General features: G+C 57.4%; 1 protein-coding gene across 16 annotated transcripts in view, besides 1 other annotated feature; it reads right to left on the bottom strand.

The window, feature by feature from the left end:
* Positions 1-22333, bottom strand: part of KDM4B (lysine demethylase 4B) — a 184486-nt gene that overhangs the window by 79293 nt on the left and 82860 nt on the right. For 15 of the 16 annotated variants that reach the window (XM_005259521.5, NM_015015.3, XM_011527814.3 and 12 more), the window contains one exon: positions 3247-3296. The exons of the other annotated variant lie outside the window; for it this stretch is intronic. In XM_005259521.5, the coding sequence (XP_005259578.2) occupies positions 3247-3296 (50 nt within the window). The remainder of the gene's footprint in view (positions 1-3246; positions 3297-22333) is intronic. 16 annotated transcript variants of the gene reach the window in all.
* Positions 21803-22302: an enhancer, noted in NCBI's record as "H3K4me1 hESC enhancer chr19:5052015-5052514 (GRCh37/hg19 assembly coordinates)". NCBI's record gives its function as "activates a minimal SCP1, AML or CMV promoter by ChIP-STARR-seq in primed H9 embryonic stem cells {active_cell/tissue: H9 hESC(primed)}" and the evidence as "EXISTENCE:reporter gene assay evidence [ECO:0000049][PMID:30033119]".

Genomic DNA, 22333 nt, shown 5'->3' with positions numbered 1-22333 from the left:
CCCATTAGTGCCCCATCCTGCCCCCAGCTGCCTTCCAGAGGGGAGGGCAGGGCCCTGAGCCAGAGGCCACAGGGGACTCAAGGTGTTTCCACGCAGCTGCAGGCATCTGACACATCCCACAACCTTCCTGACCCTCCTCGGGGTTCACAGCCAGGCTGGCTCCCAGAATTTTAGAAGCTGCTCTGCCCTGCTGAAGGGTGACTAGGGTCTCACTCTGTCACCCAGGCTGAAGTGCAGTGGCTCCATCACAGCTCACTGCAGCCTTGACTTCCCAGGCTCACGCTATCCTCCCGCCTCAGCCTCCTGAGTAGCTGAGACTACAGATGTACAACACCACGCCCAGCTAATTTTTACAGAGACAGAGTCTCACTATGTTCCTGAGGCTGGTCTTGAACTCCTGGGCTCAAGCAATCCTCTGACGTCAGCCTCTCAAAGCACTGGGATTCCAGGTGTGAGCTACTGCACCTGGCCAGAGTCCATACTTTCTAAGAACCCCTGTGAAAGCACCACCAAGAACTAATTCTTCCCTGGCTCCCCCTCACCCAGCCCAGGCACTGAGCCCTCTGCACACTTAGAAACCAAACCAGCCCTCCAGGTGCCTGGCCTGGCCTCAGGGTAGAACTGGTCACATTCCAGGGAGAGGGGATGTGGCAGTGCTTGGGGACAGGGGTGGCCTCACCAGATCCTGCCTGTGGCCTCTCCAGCAGGCTCCTGTCAACCTCTGCTTTTCTAATGCAAAAGTCACACTGGGTGAGAAGGGAGGGGACAGTGGCTAACTGTAGTCTCAGTTAAATATGGAGGGGGAGAAGTGGCTGGCAAGGATGGGGTGGCCCTCTCGATCTGGGCACCAGAGAGCACCAGGAGGGGCCCGCCTGGGTGAAGCCCAGCTCCAGTACAGACTGCGGAGCCTAGAGCCTGCTCCCCACCGGGGCTGCTGGCTCTCCCCAGGCTGCGCCTGCATCCCCTGCCCTGTGGCAGTAGAGAGGTACTGCCGTGTGGACGACAGAGGTGTGGGGTGTCATGCCTGCAGCAGACAAGGAGCCCACAGGTGCTCCCTGACCGCTCAGTGAGGTTTTCTTCAGTGGCTTTCTAAGTGTGGCTGGCTGAAAAATGGAACTCCAAGGCACCCACATGCTAACCCCTGGGACCTGTGAGTGTGGTACCTTCCATGCTGAAAGGGACTTTGCAGATGGGATCGAGTTAAGGATCTTGAGGTGGGGGAGCACCCTGGCTATCCGGGTGATCCGATGTCATTCCATGGGTCCTCAGAACAGCGAGGCAGAGGGACTGTTGGTTACAGCAGAGGAAAGTGAGGAGACCAGAGACAGAGGCTGGAGTGATGCGGCCCAAGTCAAGGGATGCAGGTGGCCTCTAGATGCTGGAGAAGGGAAGGCAGAAACGGGTTCTCCCCTGGGACCGAGCCAAGGAATGCGGGCGGCCTCTAGACACTGGAAAAGGCGGGAAGTGGGTTCTCCCCTGGTGCCTCCAGATGGAACTGGCCCTGCCTGCACCTGGGTTTTAGCCCCTTAACATGCATTTTAGACTCCTGACCTCCAGAACGGTGAGAGAATAAACGTGTGTTGTTTTCAGCCATTAATTCTGTGGTCATTTGTTACAGGAGCCTCAGGATGCTAATACAACATGGGGAATGTTTCTTTAGCTTATGTCTTCAAATTTGTTTTGGAAATTGGTATTAAAAACATACAATGGGAGAAATGCTTTAATCTAGCTTTTCTTTCACAGCTTTAGTATGTAAGTGAGCTGGACCTTTGCTACGGCCTGTCTGTGACTGCAGAATTTCTACTACCAGAAGCGTGCTCCTAAGACCAGGATTCACCTGTGCCTAAGAAAGGGGTCCAGGTTTCCAATAGAAACGCTCAAAAATACCAAGAGCAAAGCCCTCAGTCCAGAAGCCAGGAGAGCACATGCCAGGAGAGGGCCCAGCCCACTCCCCAAGGACTCCCTTCCCCTCCGTCCCCACCACCGAATCTGCCGCGCTTGGGCAACATTTCCTGCACAGCCACGTGACTCCTGGCGCAGTCTCTGGGACAGGAGACCCTTATTTCCCTAGAAAGACTGACAGTTCCCATCTCCAAAGCCAAAAGCCCATGGGAAGGGGGAAGAGAGCATGTGGCGGGCGTCCTTTGGCTCGAAGGTTTGGAAGGGACAGAGGACAGCAACCAGGCAGTCCCGGGAGCCTGTACTGAGGCTGGGTGAGAGCTCCTGGAAAAGCTGTGGCTGTCGCTTGCTGAGCTGCCTGACGCCGTCCTTGAAGGGCGGGGTGCTCGGACAGGGCCCTCTCAATGCTGTCAGAGGAACAACGGGCCCTCACTGACCCTCACCCCTCACGCACCCCAAGCTGTCCACCTGCCAATGCGGAGGAGCCAGCTCTTGAGCAGCTGGGAATGGACCAGCGGGAGGGAGGAACTGCTTTAGCCAGCTGTGTCTTTTCATGACTCTCCAGGCACTTAGGAGCAGTGAGGTGTCATGAAACTTGCACCCCTGTTGTGCTGTGATGCCGGCGCTGACATGGGGACCCTGCCCAAGTGCCTCAGGGCTGGGTGGTCAGGGGAGCTCAGGGTGGCCCCATCCCGGGTGTCTCCAGCTGTCTGACTTGTTTCCAAGTATCCCACAACCTGAGGATCTGGCACTCCCTCAGGCACATGCTGGGACCCTCTATGACAAACCCCTTCTTTCCCAAGAGTCCCCAGGGAGCACATGAACGCGAGCTGGTGGCATCACCAGTGAGGACATTTGCCAAAGGTGTCCAGGTTGGGTCCCAGCAGAACAAGGGCAAACGCCGTGCGGCCACCATGTCTGCTCCCCCGCAGGTAAGCGGACTGCTGGCTGAATTGTCTCCTTTCCTAGGCTTTCTCAGAATTAGCAAGGGCACAGTGTGGGGTCAGGTGATGGGAGGAAAATGAACACAGGCTGCCCTCCCTGGGCCCTGGCAGCCTTTGACCAGGCCCAAGAAGTTTGCGCTAAGAAAACTGGAAAACAGGAGCGTCTGGGCATTCTGTGCGAATTTCACAAGAGACAAACTGCGCGGCAGAAGGGCGTGAATCTGACCACGAGGGTGGGAGGAAATGGAAAAAATCACACAGTAATGGCTCAAAGAATGTCACCACTCCCCAAAACCCAAACCCAGACCGCAGCAGAGCCCGGGGGACGCCAGCTGCCCTTCCCCACCCACAGGCCCCTCCCACCTGGTCCCAGGTCCCTGGGGCCCTCAGGGCAGGCACCTACCGATGGCCAGCCGCTCCAGGCGCTTGCCGTGCTCTGGTGGGATGGCGTACCTGCGAGAGAAGGGAGGCACGTCAGAGGCAAGATCGGTGGCAGCCACGCAAGGGGGTGTCCCTGGTGGGACCAGCCTTGGGGAGACGCAGACAGTGCCCAGGGCAGAAGCAAAGTGGAGTCATGGTCAGGACTGTGTGGAGGGGATGGCCGGGGGTGGGGGCTTTCAGGACGGAATCCGTAAGGAAGCGAGGTGGGGCAGGTGGAGGAGCGGGGAGTGAGGACCATGGCTCGGTGGCTTGTGACACACTCAGAAAGCCAGGAGTGGGGATGCTCCCGGTTAAGCGGCACTCCACCTCGAGGAGGCTGAAAAGGCAAAAAACAAAAGTATTGGATTGGAACTGCGGGTGGCGAGGGGACCCTGGGAGGGCCGAGTCTGGAACAGCAAGCATCTGGGGCCCCCGGAGCTGCCAGCCCGCTCTCCAGGCCCACGTCACGGTCTCCAGGCCCACGTCACCCTTTCCCGGCACTGGGAGCCAACAGGGAAAAAGCAGCTTTGGAAATGAGAAAAGCTGCATTTGTCACCGACTTTGTAAGTTTTATTTTTACACATTTTACATTTGAAAGATCACCAAGGCTCCATCATGAATAAGAAAGACATAAGATGAAAGTGTGCAAACACACGAAGCGAAGTGGGGGTGGCATCCCGCTCATGCCGTACCAGAAGCTGGAGACCTGCGATGTTGGGACTCTCTTCCCATCAGGGAGGGTGGGCACCAGGAGCCGCAGCCTTGAGGGGGAGCGAGAAGCCCCAGTGCCAACGGGGACACCACCCAGCCCACTCCCAAGGCCTCCGGCAAAACAAAAACCTCAATTTCCAAGCGAAGGGGACGAGGACAGGGCCTCAGGGACTTGAGGGCACACAGCTGAGTGCCAGCTGAGGATGGTCAAGTCCCATCCTCGACCCCAACTCTAGAGTAACAAGGCCAACAGCTCCCGTTCTAGAACAGTCACACAGATGAGAGGACACATGATATGGTCTCTCCCCGAGACCCTCCCAGGGCAGAAGCAAGACAAGGAAAAGCTCAGAGGGTGGGAGACGGCCCCTGCTCCACTACAGCCCCTTCCAGCTGAAAGGCCACTTTGTTTTTTAATGAAATAAAGAAGCCAGGCGCGGTGGCTCATGCCTGTCATCCCAGCACTTTGGGAGGCTGAGGCGGGCAGATCACCTGAGGTCAGGAGTTCAAGACCAGCCTAGCCAACATGGTGAAACCCCTCCTCTACCAAAAATACAAAATACCAGCTACTCAGGAGGCTGTAATCCCAGCTACTCGGGAGGCTGACGCAAAAGAATCATTTGAACCTGGGAGGCAAAGGCTGCAGTGAGCCAAGATGGTGCCACTGCACTCCAGCCTGGGCGAGAGAGTGAGACTCTGTCTCAAAACAAACAAACAAACAAACAAACAGGCCGGGTGCAGTGGCTCACGTCTAATCCCAGCACTTTGGGAGGCCGAGGCGGGTGGATCACGAGGTCAGAAGTTTGAGACCAGCCTGACCAACATGGTGAAACCCCGCCTCTACGAAAAATACAAAAATTAGCCAGGCGTGGTGGCAGGCGCCTGTAATCCCAGCTACTCAGGTGGCTGAGGCAGGAGAATTGCTTGAATCCAGGAAGTGGAGGTTGCAATGAACCAAGATTGCGCCACGGCACTCCAGCCTGGGCAACAGAGCAAGACTCTGTCTCAAAAAATTAAAAAAAATAAAAATAAAAATAAAAATAAATAAGGAGGGGGCAGGAGCCAGAGAAGAGGCGAACATCACGGAGCCTCTAATCTAACAGGACACAAATAATTAATTTCTGGGCATGCTCCCAGGGTCCCCAGCCAAGGCGACCCCAGCACCTTCAACTCTGTCGTCCTCAGAGAGTCTTCCACTGTCTAGACAGGGGTGCATTCCTCTTTTTTAAATGGGCTTTTATGATTTACATAAAGATGAGAAATTTTAATCCCAATCCAAAGCACCTTTGTGGGATTAAAGACCCCTCCGCACAGGGAATGAAACACTCTGCTCCTTCTGGGAAGATGCTGGGGACGGGAAGGAACTAATTTATGGCTCCAAGGCTGCGATGATTAATGCCGTATCCCCAGCCTACAATGCTGCTCCACTTAATTACTGCCTGTAATTGGGAGTTGTAAAGATAAGATTAATTGAATCTGGCGAATGTTAAAAGTTTAATACACTGGAACGTGGCTCTGGCGTTATCAGAAAGCACAGACTGCGGGACGCAGGCCCAGCGTTCAGAGGAGCAGCCCCCACAGAAATCACAAAGGACTCTTGGACAAGAGGCCGGGCAGCCACGGAGACTTCTGGGCTCCGCCACCGCCAGTGCCCAACAGCGAGCTGCACCTCCCGCCACTCGGAACAACCCAGCGACGGCCTCGGGGACCAGAAGACCTGATGCTGGCAGACCTGCCTCCCGGCCACCCCCAAGGACACAGGCGGAAGAAAAACCTCAGTTTCCAAGAGAAAGTGCCAGGACACGGCTTAGGACACACAGAACTGAGTGAGGCTGGAGGCGCCACGCTCCGTCCACACAGGGCTGAAAGCACGCTTGCGTTCGCTTAGGGGACCAACCCCAGGACGGGGGACCAGAAGGTAGCCTCGGGGCCTGCTTCTCACACCAAGGCTCTCCGGATGTCCTGAAAAGCCCAGTCCAAAGGACGGGGTTGCGACGGCACTGGTGGGCGGGCCATGGAACTGGCGGACTGAAGCAGATGCACGGCAGAGACCCACAGTCACCACAGGACAAGAGACTCAGGGAGCCTTCGGGCCTCCCAGAGGGGCGTCTCAGCAGGGTCCTCCGCCCAGGCCCCCAAAGAGCGAAGAATGCACGGCCCCCTCCTCATAGTCCCTGCTCGGGGCCATGCTGGGGCATCCCTGACATTTGGCCTTGGCTCTGGAGGGAAAAAAAAAAAAAAAGGCAAAAGCAGCTATTTGGTTTGGAAATGTTTGTTCACTAAAGCTCGAGGCAGGGGGAGCATCTGTCTGGCTATTAGTGAGCAATTTCTCGGGGCTGTAAAACCAAGTCAGGTTTATTGGCCACTGACACGGGGAGGCAGTTTGTCTCACTCCCTGGGAGCTCGGTTTCCATCACAAGGTCAAACTTCACGGCCAAAATCAATCAGCTTTGCCTGCCCGTGACCCCAGGAGATCTCTTTCTAGACACGACAGCCCTGTGTGCCCGGGTGGCACGGGGTCTTGCATGCTTTCTGGACAGACAGCTGCCCAGGCCCTCTGGCTCCTGTGCAGGGGCCACTGGTCCCCAACCGGGCCTGCTCCCAGCCTACCTCCTCTGTCCAGCTCTGAGATGCTACCGGCTCCATGACCTGCACGGGCCCTGCCCACAAGCCCCTGGCATTCCCTCCCTCCCCTCCCTCCCCCATGCCAGCACCACCTCCTGCTGACACAAAGGCCCCCACACCAGCTCTCTGTCCTCTGACTCTGTCAACCTCCCCGGGACCCCGCAAGGGCTGACCACCTCTCACCCTCTAGAGCCCTGGAGGCCAGGTCATTGTACGTGTCCCTCCCTTCTACCATCTTCAGAGCACGTCCCCAGGACTGGGGCTGTGTGTGGCCAGCCCTCTGCAGCCATCAGCTCTCCCTAAGCCAGGGGCAGGGTGCGGAGGGTCTGCGGCCCAGCGCACAGGGATTGCTGGAAGAAGCTGAAGAGGTCAAGACAAAGCAAGCAGGAAGAGCGACTCCTGGAATCTCGTGGGTCTGTGCAAGGCAGAACAGCCACGGGGCTTCAGAGGGCAGAGTCAGAAATGTTAAGGGGGTGGGGAGACTTAGCTCAGTGCAACAAGGACTCTTGCAGCAAGCTAAGCTCTCCGAGCACGGAGCAGGTGCCCTGGGGTATGTCTGGGCGGGGGCTGAAGACAGCACTGTTGAGGAGGCTGCCAGGGGAGCCTTCGGGAGGGAGGGGTGGCCTGCACAGGTCCCTCAGGTGCACCCACTGCAGGCCCCTGGCCTTGCCTGGAGGAATCTGGTTCTAAATCAGGGCGAATGCTATTAGGAGGTCTGAGGACTCACATCGGCCGGGACGCAGGACGCGGGACCCAGGACCCAGGACCCGGGCATCGCCACTCCTCTGCACCACTGTCCACAGCACCCCCAGCGGGGTCTCCATCTCCGTGTTCTCAAAGCCCTGGCTGTCTGCCCCCCGTACCCACTCCCTCTGTTCTGGAATGCTGTACACAAGTCCTTCTGGAAGACAGTAAACCACAAAGTCATAGAAACTCGGCTCCGCATCTCCAGCCCGGGATCTGGAGCCATATACCTGGTAGCCACCCTTGGTGTCTGGTGCTGGCCGCAGAAGGCTCCACAAGCTCCGTGAGAGCCATACGTGGTGGTGACCAGGAGGTCAAGAAACAAACCCAGGCATCGGACACCCTTTCGGAAAGTCAGTCATGTGCAAGCCAAAGCAGCGTGGGTGAGAAAATAAAACAATGGGAGAGACAAATGCTAGGACGTGGCCCCTCTGGAGTTGGGGACACAAGACACGTGAGGTCACATGATGGTTAACAAACAAAATGATGGTCCAGCAGTGTACTAGCTCCTAGGCCCATGGGGAGACACATGTGAGGCAGCACAGTGACCTCCTAGGCCCATGGGGAGACACATGTGAGGCGCCAACAAGGACATGAGATCCAGAAGGAAGGACACCCCGGCACAGGGGCAGTGGGTGGGTGGGCACGGGCAGGTGGGCAGCCCCCGGACCCTCTACCTTCCCAGCTTCTCTTTTACACTTTGAGGTGTTTTGAGTAGTGAATGTCACCAACGTTACACTTTACTGCCACCCAAGAAAGGCAAAGCTAAAAGCCTCAAAGCCACCCACTGGGCAAGAGTGGGGGCCGGGCCACCTCTCGAGGGGCTGGGACCCAGAAGCAGAGAGCAACTGAGGCTGAGCCCCGCGGCCTGACACACATGAGTCTGACTGGTGTCCAGAGACACTGGTCACACGGGAGGTCAGGACTGCAGCCAAGGACTGGGCCCAACGTAGGCAGCAACGAGCCGCATGTCCCTGTTTCAGCACCGAGACCAGAGGGTGGGGATGCCCCACCAGGCTCAGCCAGCGAGCTGAGACCAGGCCTGAGTCTGGGCTGGCGGCAGAGCTGCCCGGGGGATGCTGCGAGGCCCCGACAGCCTTGCTTCTTCTGCTCGCGCCATTCCCCAGGGGCTCCTGGCGACGGGTGGGCGAACCTTTGCCATGGGCCCCAGAAGCCCCCGGCCGTGCAGAGGAGGGGATGGATGGCGGGCAGCTCATGAGCCGGAGCCGGAGCTGGAGCCGGAACCAGGGAATGAAAGCAAAGGCGTTCTCTGCAGGCAGGCGCTCCCCTCCAGCCAGCGGACAGGCCACTGTCATCTCGCCGCCACGCTGGCCCCGGAAAGAGTTTTCTGTCCACCGCAGAGGATGCTATTAATAGTGTAATTTCTTGGTGTTTTGTTTATTCCCCCGGAATGGCTTGATGGATGTGAATAATTATCAGACTATAAAAGCCAGCAAATGTGCTATTTTCTATCGCTCTAAATCATCAAACAAATAAAGTGTGAAACAGCATTTTTGAATATAATTTTCCCCTCTAATGGCTTAGAATTATTATCAAGAACAATGAAAATAAATAAGCAAATGCCTTTGAGTTAAAAATTAAATGAGTGTGTCAGGAAAGGGAACACAGGCCGTCCTGGGCAGCTGGGACCTGCCAGGGAGCCCTTAGCTACGATGACGGTGAGCAGACGGGCTTGGGGTCACACGGCCCAGGCCACCCCTGGGCACCATCCCACAGGGCCCCAGCCTGAGGCGGGCCCACATGTGGCTCCATGAAAGCGTGGCCCCCACTGGTCTCTGCAAAGCAGGCGCTGTGGCCCCTCCTGTGCTAGGTGACGCTGCGCAGTGGGGCTGCCTGCTTCGCCTGTGGGCACTGCCTGCCTGGCTGACGCCCCAGCACCCCCAGGGACCCCGCCTGCCACGGCCAAAGCACACCGCACCTGACCTCGGAACCCGAGGCGGAGGAGGTGGGGGTCCAATATCCTGTCCCCTCACAGCCTCTGCCTTTGCCAGCCATGGGCAGGCAATGACAGCAGGGCCGCTGCCTCTCAGACCAGGCAGAAAACCCGAGATCGGGGCAAAGTCTCTGGATGAGGGGTGTGATGCTGGTGCCGGCCACACATGTCCCCACCACACCTGCCGGCTGCCCCAGGCTCCCTACCTGGGCGGCACTTCCAGAGCGACCAGGTGACTCCCAGCGCCCTCTCCCTCCTACTGCAAGCGGAATGGGCTCCTTGGAGGCTCTCAAGCCAGGACTCTGTGGCCCTCACCTCTGGCAGTGGCCCCTGCCTGGCACCATCTTGCTTGGTCCCTGTGGATGGCTCTGAACCAGGCAACGGGACATCATAGTGTAAGGTTTTTTTAAGATTCGTGTAGCTTTCTCCCAGGTGACAGTGGCACTTGGAATCCAACCCACGGCCCAGCCTGACAGCTCCTGCCAGCGGAAGCTCTCGGCAATTAGGTGCCAGGGATGAAAACGCTCTCCTCCCTACCCCCCACCCCCGCCGCCGAGGAATGTGTGCCAAGAGCAGAGGTCCGACCAAGAGCCCTTCAGAGATGTCGGCACAGCCCAATGCGTGCTGGAGGGTGAGAAAGTTAATTTCACAGTGTCTGCACAGGCCTGGGCAGACGGGCCTTCGCCATTTAATGCGCTATCATCGCAGACACAGAATGAGGGAGGCAGAGCCCGTGCACGTCACGCTGGAAGTACCCGAGACCAGGTGTCAGGTTGGACAGAGGCCACCTGGCAGAGTGAGCCACCCACGCAAGCCCAGGAGGGCCACGGCAGATCCAAACGCCAGTGGCGCCCCCGGGACCCCAAGTTGCAAACAGAACGGAAAAGCCATGGTGACCGCCACCCTCGCAACAAAGCCCTATGGTGGCCCCGGCCTGTGACCCAGCAAGATGGCTCTGGCGCACTGCCCTGTGGCTGGCACAGGCCGGGAAGGAGAGCAAGCCGGCTACAGGGTGGGCTTCCTGCGAGACCCAACAGAGAGCTGCTGTCTCAGCCCCACATCCACACGAGCCCCTCAGCCGACATGCAGTCCCGGAGCCAGCTAAAGACGAGCCGGGCCAGGGTGGCTCCTCTGCTCTGCTCCTCAGAGCCGCATGGTGACCGGGCCAGGGACACACAGGTCTGTGTGGTGGCCACCGTGCTGCGCCGTGTTAACTCCGTCCACGGAAATGGCCAAGTTCTCTGAGCGCCTTCTATGTATGCTATGGAAACTGCACCACAAACAAAGCTGTTCACAGGAACCTGAGGACCTATTCACCGCACTGGGGACACAAGGACCAGAGAGCCACGGTCCCTGCCTGCGTTGCTGGGCTCAGTGCCACAGATGCACTTGGCTCTTCAGAGTATCTTCAGCACTGTGGAGCCCAGGGTGTCCACCAAGTCAACACAGGCCCCACCAGAAACCCTGAAGAGACCAGGTCACAGATGTCCTCTCTGGAAAAGGCACCAGCCCAGGTGGTTTTAATGAATCCTGCCCGATGACCTTCATCTAAAGGGACAGTGCCCATGTACACACATGGTTGGCAAGCAGTAGGGAATATCTGACGTTACTGAGCTCGTTTTCTGAATCCGGCATATTTTCCAAATGGATGAATAAATGAACAAATGGGAAACCCCAGCACCAACAAAGAACACGCAAGAAAATGATCAGCCAGTCCCACGTGGATGTAAAAATCCTAAATACAGCATTAGTGAGTCAAGCACAGTAGGCTATTGCAAGACCAAGAAGAGTTTATCTCCAAGGTTGCAAAGACATTCCAAAAATTAATATCTATCAAAAATTCCAAAGCATTTGGTACAAAAATTCTCAGGCAACCAGGACTAGCAGGGACTCTCCCACTACCACCTTCATGGCGAGGCAGGAGAGGACACAACCTGCCCATCATCACAGCACACGTCACACTGCACTAGAGACACTAGCCAATGTGATATATCAAGAAAAAGACAAAGGGTTTACCAAGCAGAAGGGATAAGACAAACTTCTTAAAATCATAATATAAACGTCTAAGTAAGGCGTGATGGTGCATGCCTGTGTTCCCAGCTCCTCAGAATGCTGAGGCAGGAGGATCACTGGAGTCCAAGAGGTTGAGGCTGCAGTGAGCCATGACTGCACCACTGCACTCCAACCTAGGCAACAGAGGGAAACTCTATCTCTAAAAAAAAAAAAAAAAAAAAAACAGTTTAATTATAACATAAGTTTCTACTTAGGAAATCTAAGCAAACAAAGAAACTGGTAAAACTATAGAATTAAACACAGCCCAGCAAGGTGGCAGAATTTTTAATTAAAAAAAAAAGTCAACAAAAAGAGGGTTTCCTCTACAGCAGAAAGAACATTAACAGAACACTCTAAACCCACTAGGGTAAACCTGTCCCTCGTCTAGGGTGGAGCAGGAATTCTCTCCACAAACAAGGCCACACACAGACCTGGTAGTGCACTTGCCTGCTGTACTCACAGGCTCTGACCTGGGAAGCCAGTGCCTCCCTGGGTAAAACCCCTCCACACCCCTGCAACAGCGCATGGGGACGGACGGGAGGAAGGGCAGGTGCCAGAGCTCATCACGTAGTCGCCAGCAGCAGGAAAGGCATGCTACCGATGGCCACCCCAGGAGGATGGGTCGCCCAGGACAGGCAGCTGCCCCACAGGTCAGTCTGGAGAGATAAAGATGTTAGAAAAAGTGCCTGCACAGGCAAGGGAGTGGATCCACAGGCCAGGACACACAGACAGCCCGGGAACTGCCAAGAGCACTGAGGTCCCATATCCTGGCTGAGAGAGAGGGAGAGGAGATGTCACCAACCGCAGCCTGCTGGGAGGGAGAGATTACAGGGGACCGGACAGAGGGCAGGAAGAGGAGGAGTGAGACCCTTTCGCAAAGACTCACAGGAGAAACGGGAGTCCCAGAGCAGGTGCAGGCCCCATGGGGAAGGCTCCAGCCCTGGCATTCTGCGGGGCCAGCCCTGCTCCCCCAGATGCCACCGCTGCAGAAATGGAGCCCAGCCTGGGCTGCACGGCTCCTCCCAAGGCAATGACAGAACTCCTCCAATATCTGATGGAAAGCTACCCTATTTCTTTCTTCTGTTTTTTTTTGTTGTTGTTTTTTGTTGTTGTTTTTTGTTTTTTTTTTTTAAGAGACAGGGTCTTTGCTGCAGCCTCAAATTCCCAGGCTCAAGCAATACTCCCTCCTCAGCCTCCCATGTAGCTAAAAGATGACAGGTGTGCGCCCTACACCCAGCTGATTTTTTCTTCTTTTTTTGTAGAGATGGAGTCTTGCAATGTTGCCCAGGCTGTTCTCGAGCTCCAGTGGCTGGCTCAAGCAATCCTCTGGCCTCAGCTGCCCAAAGCTCTGGAATTACAGGCATGAGCCAACCTGCCTGTTTCTACTGGAAAAATCTTCTTTCATGGAGCCTCATCCTGGGGAAAGGCCACCTCCCTCATTTGTCCCCAGCACAGGGGCTCCTTTATGTGGCAGATACTAATACTTGCTTGGGAGATAGGATCTGCCAGGGAGCAGGGTGGCTTGTTCCCAGGAAACAGCCTTATTGAGCTGCAGTGGCTTTATCTTTAATGGATCGTTTTACGGGACAAGAGATGATGGAATTTGGTATCTTAAACCAGTGGTGACAATGATTTCAAATAATGACCTTTTATTGAGACACACAGGAGACCAGCAGAGTCCTGGGAGCCTCGGCTCAGGGAAGATGGGGAGCCTGGGATGGGGAGAGCCGCCCACAGGAATGCCCGACAAAGCGGAGCAGCAGGCGGAGGAGACAGAGCTCTCGGCTCTCGCAGGGCCAGCCAGAAGACCCCATTCCTGGCACGGTGGCCATGGGTGGCCCGCCCTGCTCTCCTGGGCCACGAGGTGTCGTCACACTGGCCCTCCGGAACCGGGGCTGGGTCAGCACCCTGAGGATCCGTGCGAACTTCATACACCGCCAGCCCACTTTAATTAGGAGCAGACTCGCCGAGGCAAGCCATGTCACGCCTGCAATTAAAGGCCAGATTGGAGGCATCTGATCCCCAGCCCTGATTTATTTTAGGCCCACAAATTACTTTTATTATATGACAAGGCCAAAAACGCAAAGTCATGTGCGAGTTGTTTGCCATGTTTTTCCCTCAGCCTCGCCAGGAAAGCTGTGAGAGTGCCCGTCACAGGGGAGGGTGCGCAGGGCAGGTGCCCAGTGACACAGCGGCGGCTGTCAGGTTCGGACACAGTGCCAGGGACACAGGGCCACTGACACACAGCAACCTCCCTCACGTGCCTGCCGTCAAACCGGCCTGAATTTCTGCTCATCAACAACCAGGAGGCAGCCCCCACCATGCCTGGACCCACGGCCCTCCTCCAGCATTATTCGACCTCAGTGGGGACCCCTTGCCGTTTATTCTGTTAAAAGGCACAGGATGGTTTAAAAAGGAGAGAACAACGACAGTCTCCTAAGAGCACAGAGGGTCTGAAGAGACAGGGACTGCAGCTGGAGAACAATCATGGCTCCCTTTTTTTTTTTTTTTTTTTTTTTTTTTTTTGGAGACAGAGTCTTCCTCCGTCACCCAGGCTGGATGGGACAATCTTGGCTCACTGCAACCTCCACCTCCCGGGTTCACGCCATTCTCCTGTCTCAGCCTCCCGAGTAGCTGGGACTACAGGCACCCACCACAACACCCGGCTAATTTTTGTATTTTTAATAGAGACGGGGTTTCACCACATTAGCCAGGCTGGTCTCAAACTCCGACCTCAGGTGATCCGCCCACCTTGGCCTCCCAAAGTGCTGGGATTACAGGCGTGAGCCACCATGCCCGGCCCATGGCTCCCTTTTGTCCAGAGCAGTGAGGGATCACCCGGCCAAGATCAGCTCCCACATGAGCCCAGCCCCGTGGGGCCTCAACACGGGCCCAAGGAGGTGCTGGCCTGGCAGCAGCTCTGAGGCCCTGGAAGGCTGTGGGGAGGAGGCAGCAGAGAATTCGAGAAGCTGCTCCAGCACCAGGCTCTGCAGAAGGCCAGCTGGGCACCAGGGCTGATGTGCCCGTGGTGGGAGTGAGCCACACGCAGGCATCCCGGAGAGGCAGTGGGGCGTGAGGCCCTGGTGGGAGTCTGAGTCTCTGTGTGCAGAACGTCGTCTGGATACCTGCAGGCTGTGGAGGCTCCCATCTATTAAAATGCTCTGATGCCTCTATGCTTACATTTATTTCATCACCGGCACCCACAGACACACAGCACCCACTGAGCCTCATGAGGAAACACGGTGACCGCCAGGCCCCTGGTGACCGAGATGGCCTGGAGCGTCCTAAATGGCGCGTGTAATGATGGGACTAGCTTTGGAGAGCACGGGAGTTGAACTGTCTCACACACAGGCCGATGGCCATGAGGCTACGCGCTCCTGTTCCTATGACCTAAGTCTCAGCCTGTGCCCACCACGGGCAGAGGCCGCAGGATGCTGGGTCCCTCCCTGGGCCTCGGGGACCCGGGCTGGGCTCTGGAGCTCCGGGAGGGTTTGGCTCACACACGGGTTAAGTCTGCTTGGCTCGCAATCAGGTCAGGGAGAACAAGCGGCCCGAGCCCTCGGCGGGAGGCTGCTGAATGAGGGCCATTAGCATCGCTGTCATCGGCCCCATCCTGCGCCCGCCCCGTTTCATCAGAAGGCAGCCAGCGCTCCTGTCCCCTGCTGCTGGCGAGTGTGGAGGGGAGGAAGCCATGCGCTGCCCAATTTTTAAGCAAAGATAACGAAGACTCTCCTCCCGCAGATTTGCTGCCATCTCCCTTCTGGGGAGCTGAACCCCGCCGGCAGCAGCCTCGCCGAAGGGAGAGAAATTTGCCATGGAAACCAGGCCCTGAGCTCAGAACCCAAACCTCTAATGCCTACGTAGACTGGGTGGGCGGGCGACTCTGGGTCAGGGCCAGCCTCGCCGGCTGCAGTGGGAGGGACCCGCGGGCACGCACAGACCCCCACAGCCTGAATAAACTCCTCATCCAAACACCGCCTGGCGGGATTATCTGAAGATGGGAATTCACGCCCAGTGATGACATTTCAAACAGAACTAACAGTTTCTTAAAGCGGTGGGCAGGGACAGGATGCCGGTGACTCGCCTGGCATGCCACAGCCTGGAAGCGGGCGCCAGGTTTGTTTGGCTCCTACCTCCCTAAAACAAAAATCCTGCAGCCTCACAAGCGACACGAGCCAGCGTGTGCACTGCCACTCCAACCCGAAGCGCCCGCTTTGAACAAAAGACTCCAAAATGAAGGCCATCTGCTCCTGCCAGACCAAGCCAGCGGGTGAGCGAGGGGCCGCAGACAGGACTCAGCACACGACGTGAGGCAGGGGCTGGTCAGACAGCGTGAGGCTAAGGCAGCCCCTGCAGGGTCCAGAGCCAGCCCCGGCTCCCACCACACCCAGGCCCTGGCCCGAAAGCCTGCTCCTACAGCCACTCCATCCTCCTGGAACATGGCCAAGAGTAGTAGCTCCCCTGCTTAGGAAGCTTCTATGCCCCCTTCCCGCCCCTGCTCCTGAGCTGGTCACCCATCCTCCCCTCACCGGGCTCCCCTCCTCCCTCAGTCCTCAGAGCCCCCCATTCTCCCTGCCTCCATCCCAAGGGCTCCCGGGCCTGGCACTGCTCTGGGGGTTGCGCGTGGAGTGTCTGGCTGCCCGGCCACACCAAAAGCCCTTCCCAATGGCTTCTGCTCCTGACGCAGCTCATGCTGGGCCCTGAGCAGGCATGAGCACTCCGTCAGGGCTTGGGCAGATCCATCTCTTCAACCTCAAGACCCTGTTGGCTGAGCCCCTGCAGGGCACCCAGCACCCACATGGCAGGAAAGAGAAGTCTCACCTGCCCCTTCCCAGCTGGACATGTGGTCAGACTACATTTCCCAGCCTCCCTTGATGCAAGGTGTGGCCACGTGACTGGGTGCTGGCCAATGAGGTGTGGGCAGAAGTGGTGGGCCCTGCCCTCAGACATGGCCCCCTAAGCAGCCCATCAGTCCCTCTTCCCTCACCTACACAGCAGCACCCAGGGCGACCTTGGACACCACACATGCTGGCCTCGGTCCCCGCATCCCTGCATCATCTCCATGTCCCACAACAAACTGTCACCTTCAAGTTTGGCTAAGCAGGGCTTAATATGGTGACTCCATTAGAAATGGCTCCTTCCTCACCCACACCTTCGGGTTCAGGCCACCCTCGCCAATTGGGACACACCCTGTCCTCAAGGCTGCACATCGTCCTGGCACCTGCTCCCAGGACCCGCTGCCCTCCTGATCCCACAGGGCAGCGCTTCAAGGGCAGATCGGACGTCTCTTCAATCTGTGCCTCGTCCGTGAACAAGGACGTGGAGCCAGGGGCACAAGTCAAAGGGTTACTCCAGGCAAAGCTGCTGCATGAGGAACGGAACATCATAAATGCAGCCCCAGTCACAGTTACTGATAGCAAGGCTTACGATCAAAATGAATTTCTTACATGAGCAGCAGGTGAAGAGATGATAGGTCTTTCGCAGAAGCCTCATGCTGGAAACAGCCCAAATGTCCGTCCACGGCAGAATGGAAAAAGTCGACTAAAGTCCAGCCATACAGTGGGGAATTTCACAGCCATGACAATGAGTGCACTGCCACCACACACAACCGGATGAATCTTACACACACACCATTGAGCAGAAACGCAAGGAAATCAGCCCATTTGTAAGACCTTCCAATGCAGCCAACACACAGCCTCACTGCCCGGGCCACAGGCACACGCGGCCTGGCAAAGGGGAGAGGCAAGGGCGCCGCCAGCAGAGCCGGGAGGAAGCCACCACCACAGTGTGCAGAGGGGGCTGGGAAAAGGAGGCACAGGTGGGGGCCGTGTCCTGACATCGAGGTACACAGGGGACAGCCGGAGAGTCATTTGCTAACATACGCGCGCGCGCGCACACACACACACACACACACACACACACACACACACGCATATATATCTGGTACTTACATGCTTTATGTCCGTTTCTGTACCAAATCATGTTTCACAGCAAGAAATGCCTACAAAAGGGAAGCCCCGGGACAGGCAGGGCTCTAGACACCCCAGGACTCCCCGCCCCAGGACTCCCCGCCCCAGCGTCCCCGCCCCAGGACTCCCCGCCCCAGGGTCCCCACCCCAGGGCTCTAGACACCCCAGGACTCCCCGCCCCAGGGCTCCCACACTCCTCGAGTGACACATGCCCCGTGCTGCTGCCGTGAGGGTCTCGAAGATGTGATAAAGGTCCCAAATCAGTTAACCTTAAGAAAGGGAGGTGGCTGGGCACAGTGACACACGTCTGTAACGCCAGCACTTTGGGAGGCCAAGGCAGGCAGATCACCTGAGGTCAGGAATTCGAGACCAGCCTAGCCAACATGGTGAAACCCCATCTCTCCTAAAAATACAAAAATCAGCCAAATGTGGCAGCACGCACCTGTAATCTCAGCTACTCGTGAGGCTGAGGCAGGAGAATCGCTTGAACCTGGGAGGTGGAGGTTGCAGTGAGCCGAGATTACACCACAGCACTCCAGCCTAGGCAACAGAGCAAGACTCCATCTCAAAAAAAAAAAAAAAAAAGAAAGAAAGGGAGATGATCCTGGTGGGCCTGACATTCACAGATGACAGCATGGAAAGCGGGGGAGTGCCACTCTGCAGTGGAGACACTGGACATCCACACCCAAGCCGGGTGACCAGGGCCAACATCAGCAGTGACATCACGCTGATGGCTGCGCCTTTGACCCTTGGTAGGATGTGATGGGAGGGCCCTTCGCCCCTGTGGTCTTCCTCCCTAAAACCCATCACCCCAATCTAACCACAAGAAAAACATCAGACATGCTGATTAGGGGACATACAGATTAGGGGACGTTCTATAAACTCCCTGGCCAGCCCTCCTCAACACTGTCCAGGGCATCAAACACACCGTAATAGCCCAGGGCCCTACGGAGACGGGACAACATCACGTGGGACCCGGATGGGTTCAGGGGACAGAAAAGACAACGGGGGAAGACAGAGGAAATCTGGAGAATGGATCTTAGTTCATAACGCATCAGTGTTGGCCCATCAATGATCACAAGTGTACCACATTGATATAGAATGCTCATAACAGGGAACCCGGTGGGGAACTCTCTGTGGTTACTACCTTCCCACTTTTTCAGTGAATCTAAAACAGGTCTAATAAAGACCTATTTAAAGAGAGAGAAAGGGGGAGAAGACTTCACCAAAAAGTGGATGAAAAACACAAGCACAAGCCTGGGACAAGAATGAGAAGAGGGACCTGCAGGACACTCACCTGCTGTGGGGTGTCCTCCCAGTCCCCATCACGGCCACCACCCGACACTCGCCTGCTGCGGGGCGCCCTCCCAGCCCCCATCACGGGCCCACCGCCTGACACTCGCCTGCTGCGGGGTGCCCACCCGGCCCCCATCACGGCCACCATCTCTGCTCACCAAGAAGCCAGTTTCCCAAATCCATGGGCAACGGTGCCTGCTGTCCAGACACACACAGGGCAATCGACCATCCAAACACCGGAAGTCCCCAGCTCAGTGGCACGGCTCTGGAGGAGAGCTTGGAGTGCGATTTTCACACAGCAAAAGGCGATATGAAAATTGCTCTGCAGTCCCCGAACAAACACCAAGTGTGTCTGTGTCTGTCCCTGCCAGCTCCCAGCAAGAGCCAGGAGCCAGCCTGCTGGGACAGATCCCACTGACAGGTACGGTGGGAGCCCCGGTGAGTGCCCCGATGTGCCCCGGGTTTCCCGGTCACCCTGGCCGAGAGGTGTTCTCCCAGTCCTTGGGGACACCATCACGAGACACAGCTGAGAGCCCTGCCTGTCCTGGGGGCACAATCGGGCCGCAATTGCTTAACGTGAGTGAGGTTGGCAGGAGGCTGATCAGGCCAGCCGGAGAAGCTGTGATTCTGGCACCTGTGCCCCACACGCCAGGCGCAGAGATGCAATCCCAGCCTCGCTGTGGACGCCCCAGTGTGAGGCTCAAAGGTCTTTGCAGCATCACGAGTTAATTTTTTGAACGCCAAAGCCAGCTTCTGGTGCTCAGTTCACTCCCCAGTCTTGATAAGCAGGCCTGGGCTGATGGCGTCAGGCCGACAGAGTGGTAGTGACAAGAGCGAGGCAGAGGGCTCGATGATGAGGGCTGGGGAGGGGACCAGGCCAGGGAAAACACAGCTGCCATTCATAGCTCCCATGTGCCGGCCCTCCTGGCCGCAGCCTGGACCACTTACCCAAGCACGGCACCAGCGCCACACGCCACGCTCTAGGCCACACGGCTGCAATGCCCTGCTGGCAGCTCAGCTCCTGGCCCGAGTTCTCGCAGCTAAGTGGGTAAAGTCCAGTTCTCAGTTACCCAGCAGACTCCCAGGTCTCGTCTTCTGGGCAGAGTCCCAGGGGGCCAGACTCCCTCCCAGACAGACTATGTGACTGGAGACCCTTGTTTCTCTAACAAACACATGTACATGTGTACGCATGTGCATGCGCGCGCACACACACACACACACACACACACACATTCTCTCTCTCTCAGGGGACTCAGCATCACAGTTCACTGGATCTGAGCAGGTTCCAGGATATGGGACTTCCAGTTTTAAAACTGGGAAAGGGTTGGGCTCACACCTGCAATCCCAATACTTTGGGAGGCTGAGGCAGGAGCATCATTTGATCCCAGGAGTTCGAGACCAGCCCAGGCAACACGGGGAGACCCCGTCTCTACAAAAAATTTAAAAATTTGCCAGTTGTGCACGTGCCTGTGGTCCCAGCTATTTAGGAGGCTGAAGGGGGAGGATCACCTGAGCCCAGGAGGTTAAGGTTGCAGTGAGGTGTGATCATACGACTGCACTCCAGCCTGGATGACAGAGCAAGACTTCATCTAAAATAAAATAAATAAAGCTAGGAGAGCTGAGCTGGTCACTGAGGCCCACTCACGCACAGGAATAAAGAACCGCTGCACTGATGCTGTGGCCACAGTCGCCATCAGAAGCAGAGGATTGGGACAGGTGACCACGAAGGAGCTTCCTGCCTGCCCACGGCCACGCTCCTCAAACAGGGAAGCTGGGCACCAGGTGTGCCTGGCCACGCAGCAACCCATGTGGACCCAGAGCCAGTCAGCCGGGACGCTGGGCCCCTGGGCTGGTGCTGAGCGCTGCTGGGGGGTAGTGGCTGGTCTGGGCTGGTGGCAACTACTACTCAGGCGTAGCAGCTGGCCTGGGCACTGGGCCTGGGGGCCTCACTTGCTTGTGACAACAACTGTCTTCTCTCAAAAAGAGGTTCCTTCTGCAGAGAGGGGACACCCCTCATCAAGAGCCTCCCCAGATAACCTCATGCAGGCTAGACAGCTGTCTCTACAAGGATACGGCTCCCAGGGACCATGGGCTGGGGCCACTGCAGCGGGTCTCAGTGAGCCAGGGAGGAAGTGCTGAGGCCTTGGCGGGCAGGAACCTGGGCCCTGAGCAAGCTGCCTTGGCTCCTGACACCTTATCATTTTCTAATGACCAGGGTCCCTCTGCCTCCCTACTGGTCTGATCTGCTCTCCGTGGGAGCTCTCTGTTCTAAACCGCTTCTTCCTTTTCTATTTCTGTCATCCTGGCTCAGTGTGTGTGGCTGGGAAGAGACCTGGCTGCGGTCCCCTGCCTGGGAGCGAGGCACGCATCGGGCTGCCCCCATCAGTCTGGTGGGTCTTCTCAGTCTGACCTCCCAGGGCACCGCAGCGGCTCTGAGCTGCCAATGCAGCCCTGTCCCTAGGCACCCTCGCCAGGGTTGGGCCTCGGGTGGCAAGGAGAGGAGGGAGCAACTATCTCGCTCCTGCATCTTGTTCTGGTGACAGAGTGCAGTGTGGGGAAGCTGAGTTATTAAAACCAATCTGTGAAGCTGTCAGGCTCCAGGCAATTTCCATTTCAACCCAGTGCTCAGCTCAGGCTACGCCACCCCTGTCGGGACACCAATCTCCGCCAGAGCTGTCTCTGCGGCCACCCAACCTCTGGTGGCCCAGCCAGAGCAAAGCGGCTGGGAGGAATGCCCCAGGTCACTGAGGGGGGCCATGCCTTACGGTCAGTAGACTGGGACCCTAGGTCCCCACTGCTGGTGGGACCCCCCGGGTCCCGGGCTCAGAAGCTGGAAGTCCCAGTGGTTGGCTCGCCAGCAGCAGCAGTACAAACCCACACCAGGGTCCCCGGGCGCCAGCGCGCTACCCCATGGGCCTTCAGGCTGCTGCCTGGGACGGGCTCGCCAGCTCCATCACCCACCAGACTCCTGGGTCCCACTCCAAGGGACAGGGCAGAGGCCATTGTGGGGCCCGACAGTGCCACCTGCAGCCAGACTGAGGGAGCCCAGGAGGGAGGGAGGTGTCTGCCCCCAGGCAGGAGCTGCCAGCAGGAGATGGAGCTGGGAGGCGGGTGGGCCAGGGAGGTCCTGAGGGGCAGTTAGGCGGGCAGCAGAGGGGTAAGGGAGCAGGCCCGCAGCCTCCACCCCAAGAACAGCCTGGCTTGGCCTGGGTGGGCGACAGACTCATCCACCCCAGGCTCTGCCTTCCACCCACCTGCGGCCACAGGGCAGGAAGCCCGGGCTGGTCCCCTGCAGCCCTGGAACCCACCCTCCCCACCCCCACCCTCCCCACCCCCACCCCCAGTGTCTGGAGCACGGTTCCTCGGTGCACACATGCGCCCATGCACACACACACATGCACGCACACCTCCAGGGACACCCATGAAGCAAAAGACGGCTATGCCTGCTAGGACTCAAGTTTCCCTGGCAGCAAGAAGAAAAGATGCTGTGAAATTCCCATGAGGGAAAACGCCAGAGAGAAAACTCAAGGTGTAGCTGAATCAAAAGGGAAAATTCTCGGCTTGCAGCTCCTTAAAGGTCAAGGGAGGCTGGTGGAGTCTTCTGATAATCCCCTCTCCCCTGGCCTCCCCAGCAGCCCTCCCCGCAGCACTCAGGAGGGTCTGGCTCATAGCAGCCCAGGATGGCCAAGAGCAACTGGGGGCTCCGTGCCCTTCACGGGAGC

The sequence above is a fragment of the Homo sapiens genome, chromosome 19, assembly GCF_000001405.40.
Source record: "Homo sapiens chromosome 19, GRCh38.p14 Primary Assembly".
NCBI classification, from domain to species: Eukaryota; Metazoa; Chordata; class Mammalia; order Primates; family Hominidae; genus Homo; species Homo sapiens.
Note: the sequence above shows the minus strand (reverse complement) of the source record. Positions and strands in the feature narration are given on the sequence as shown.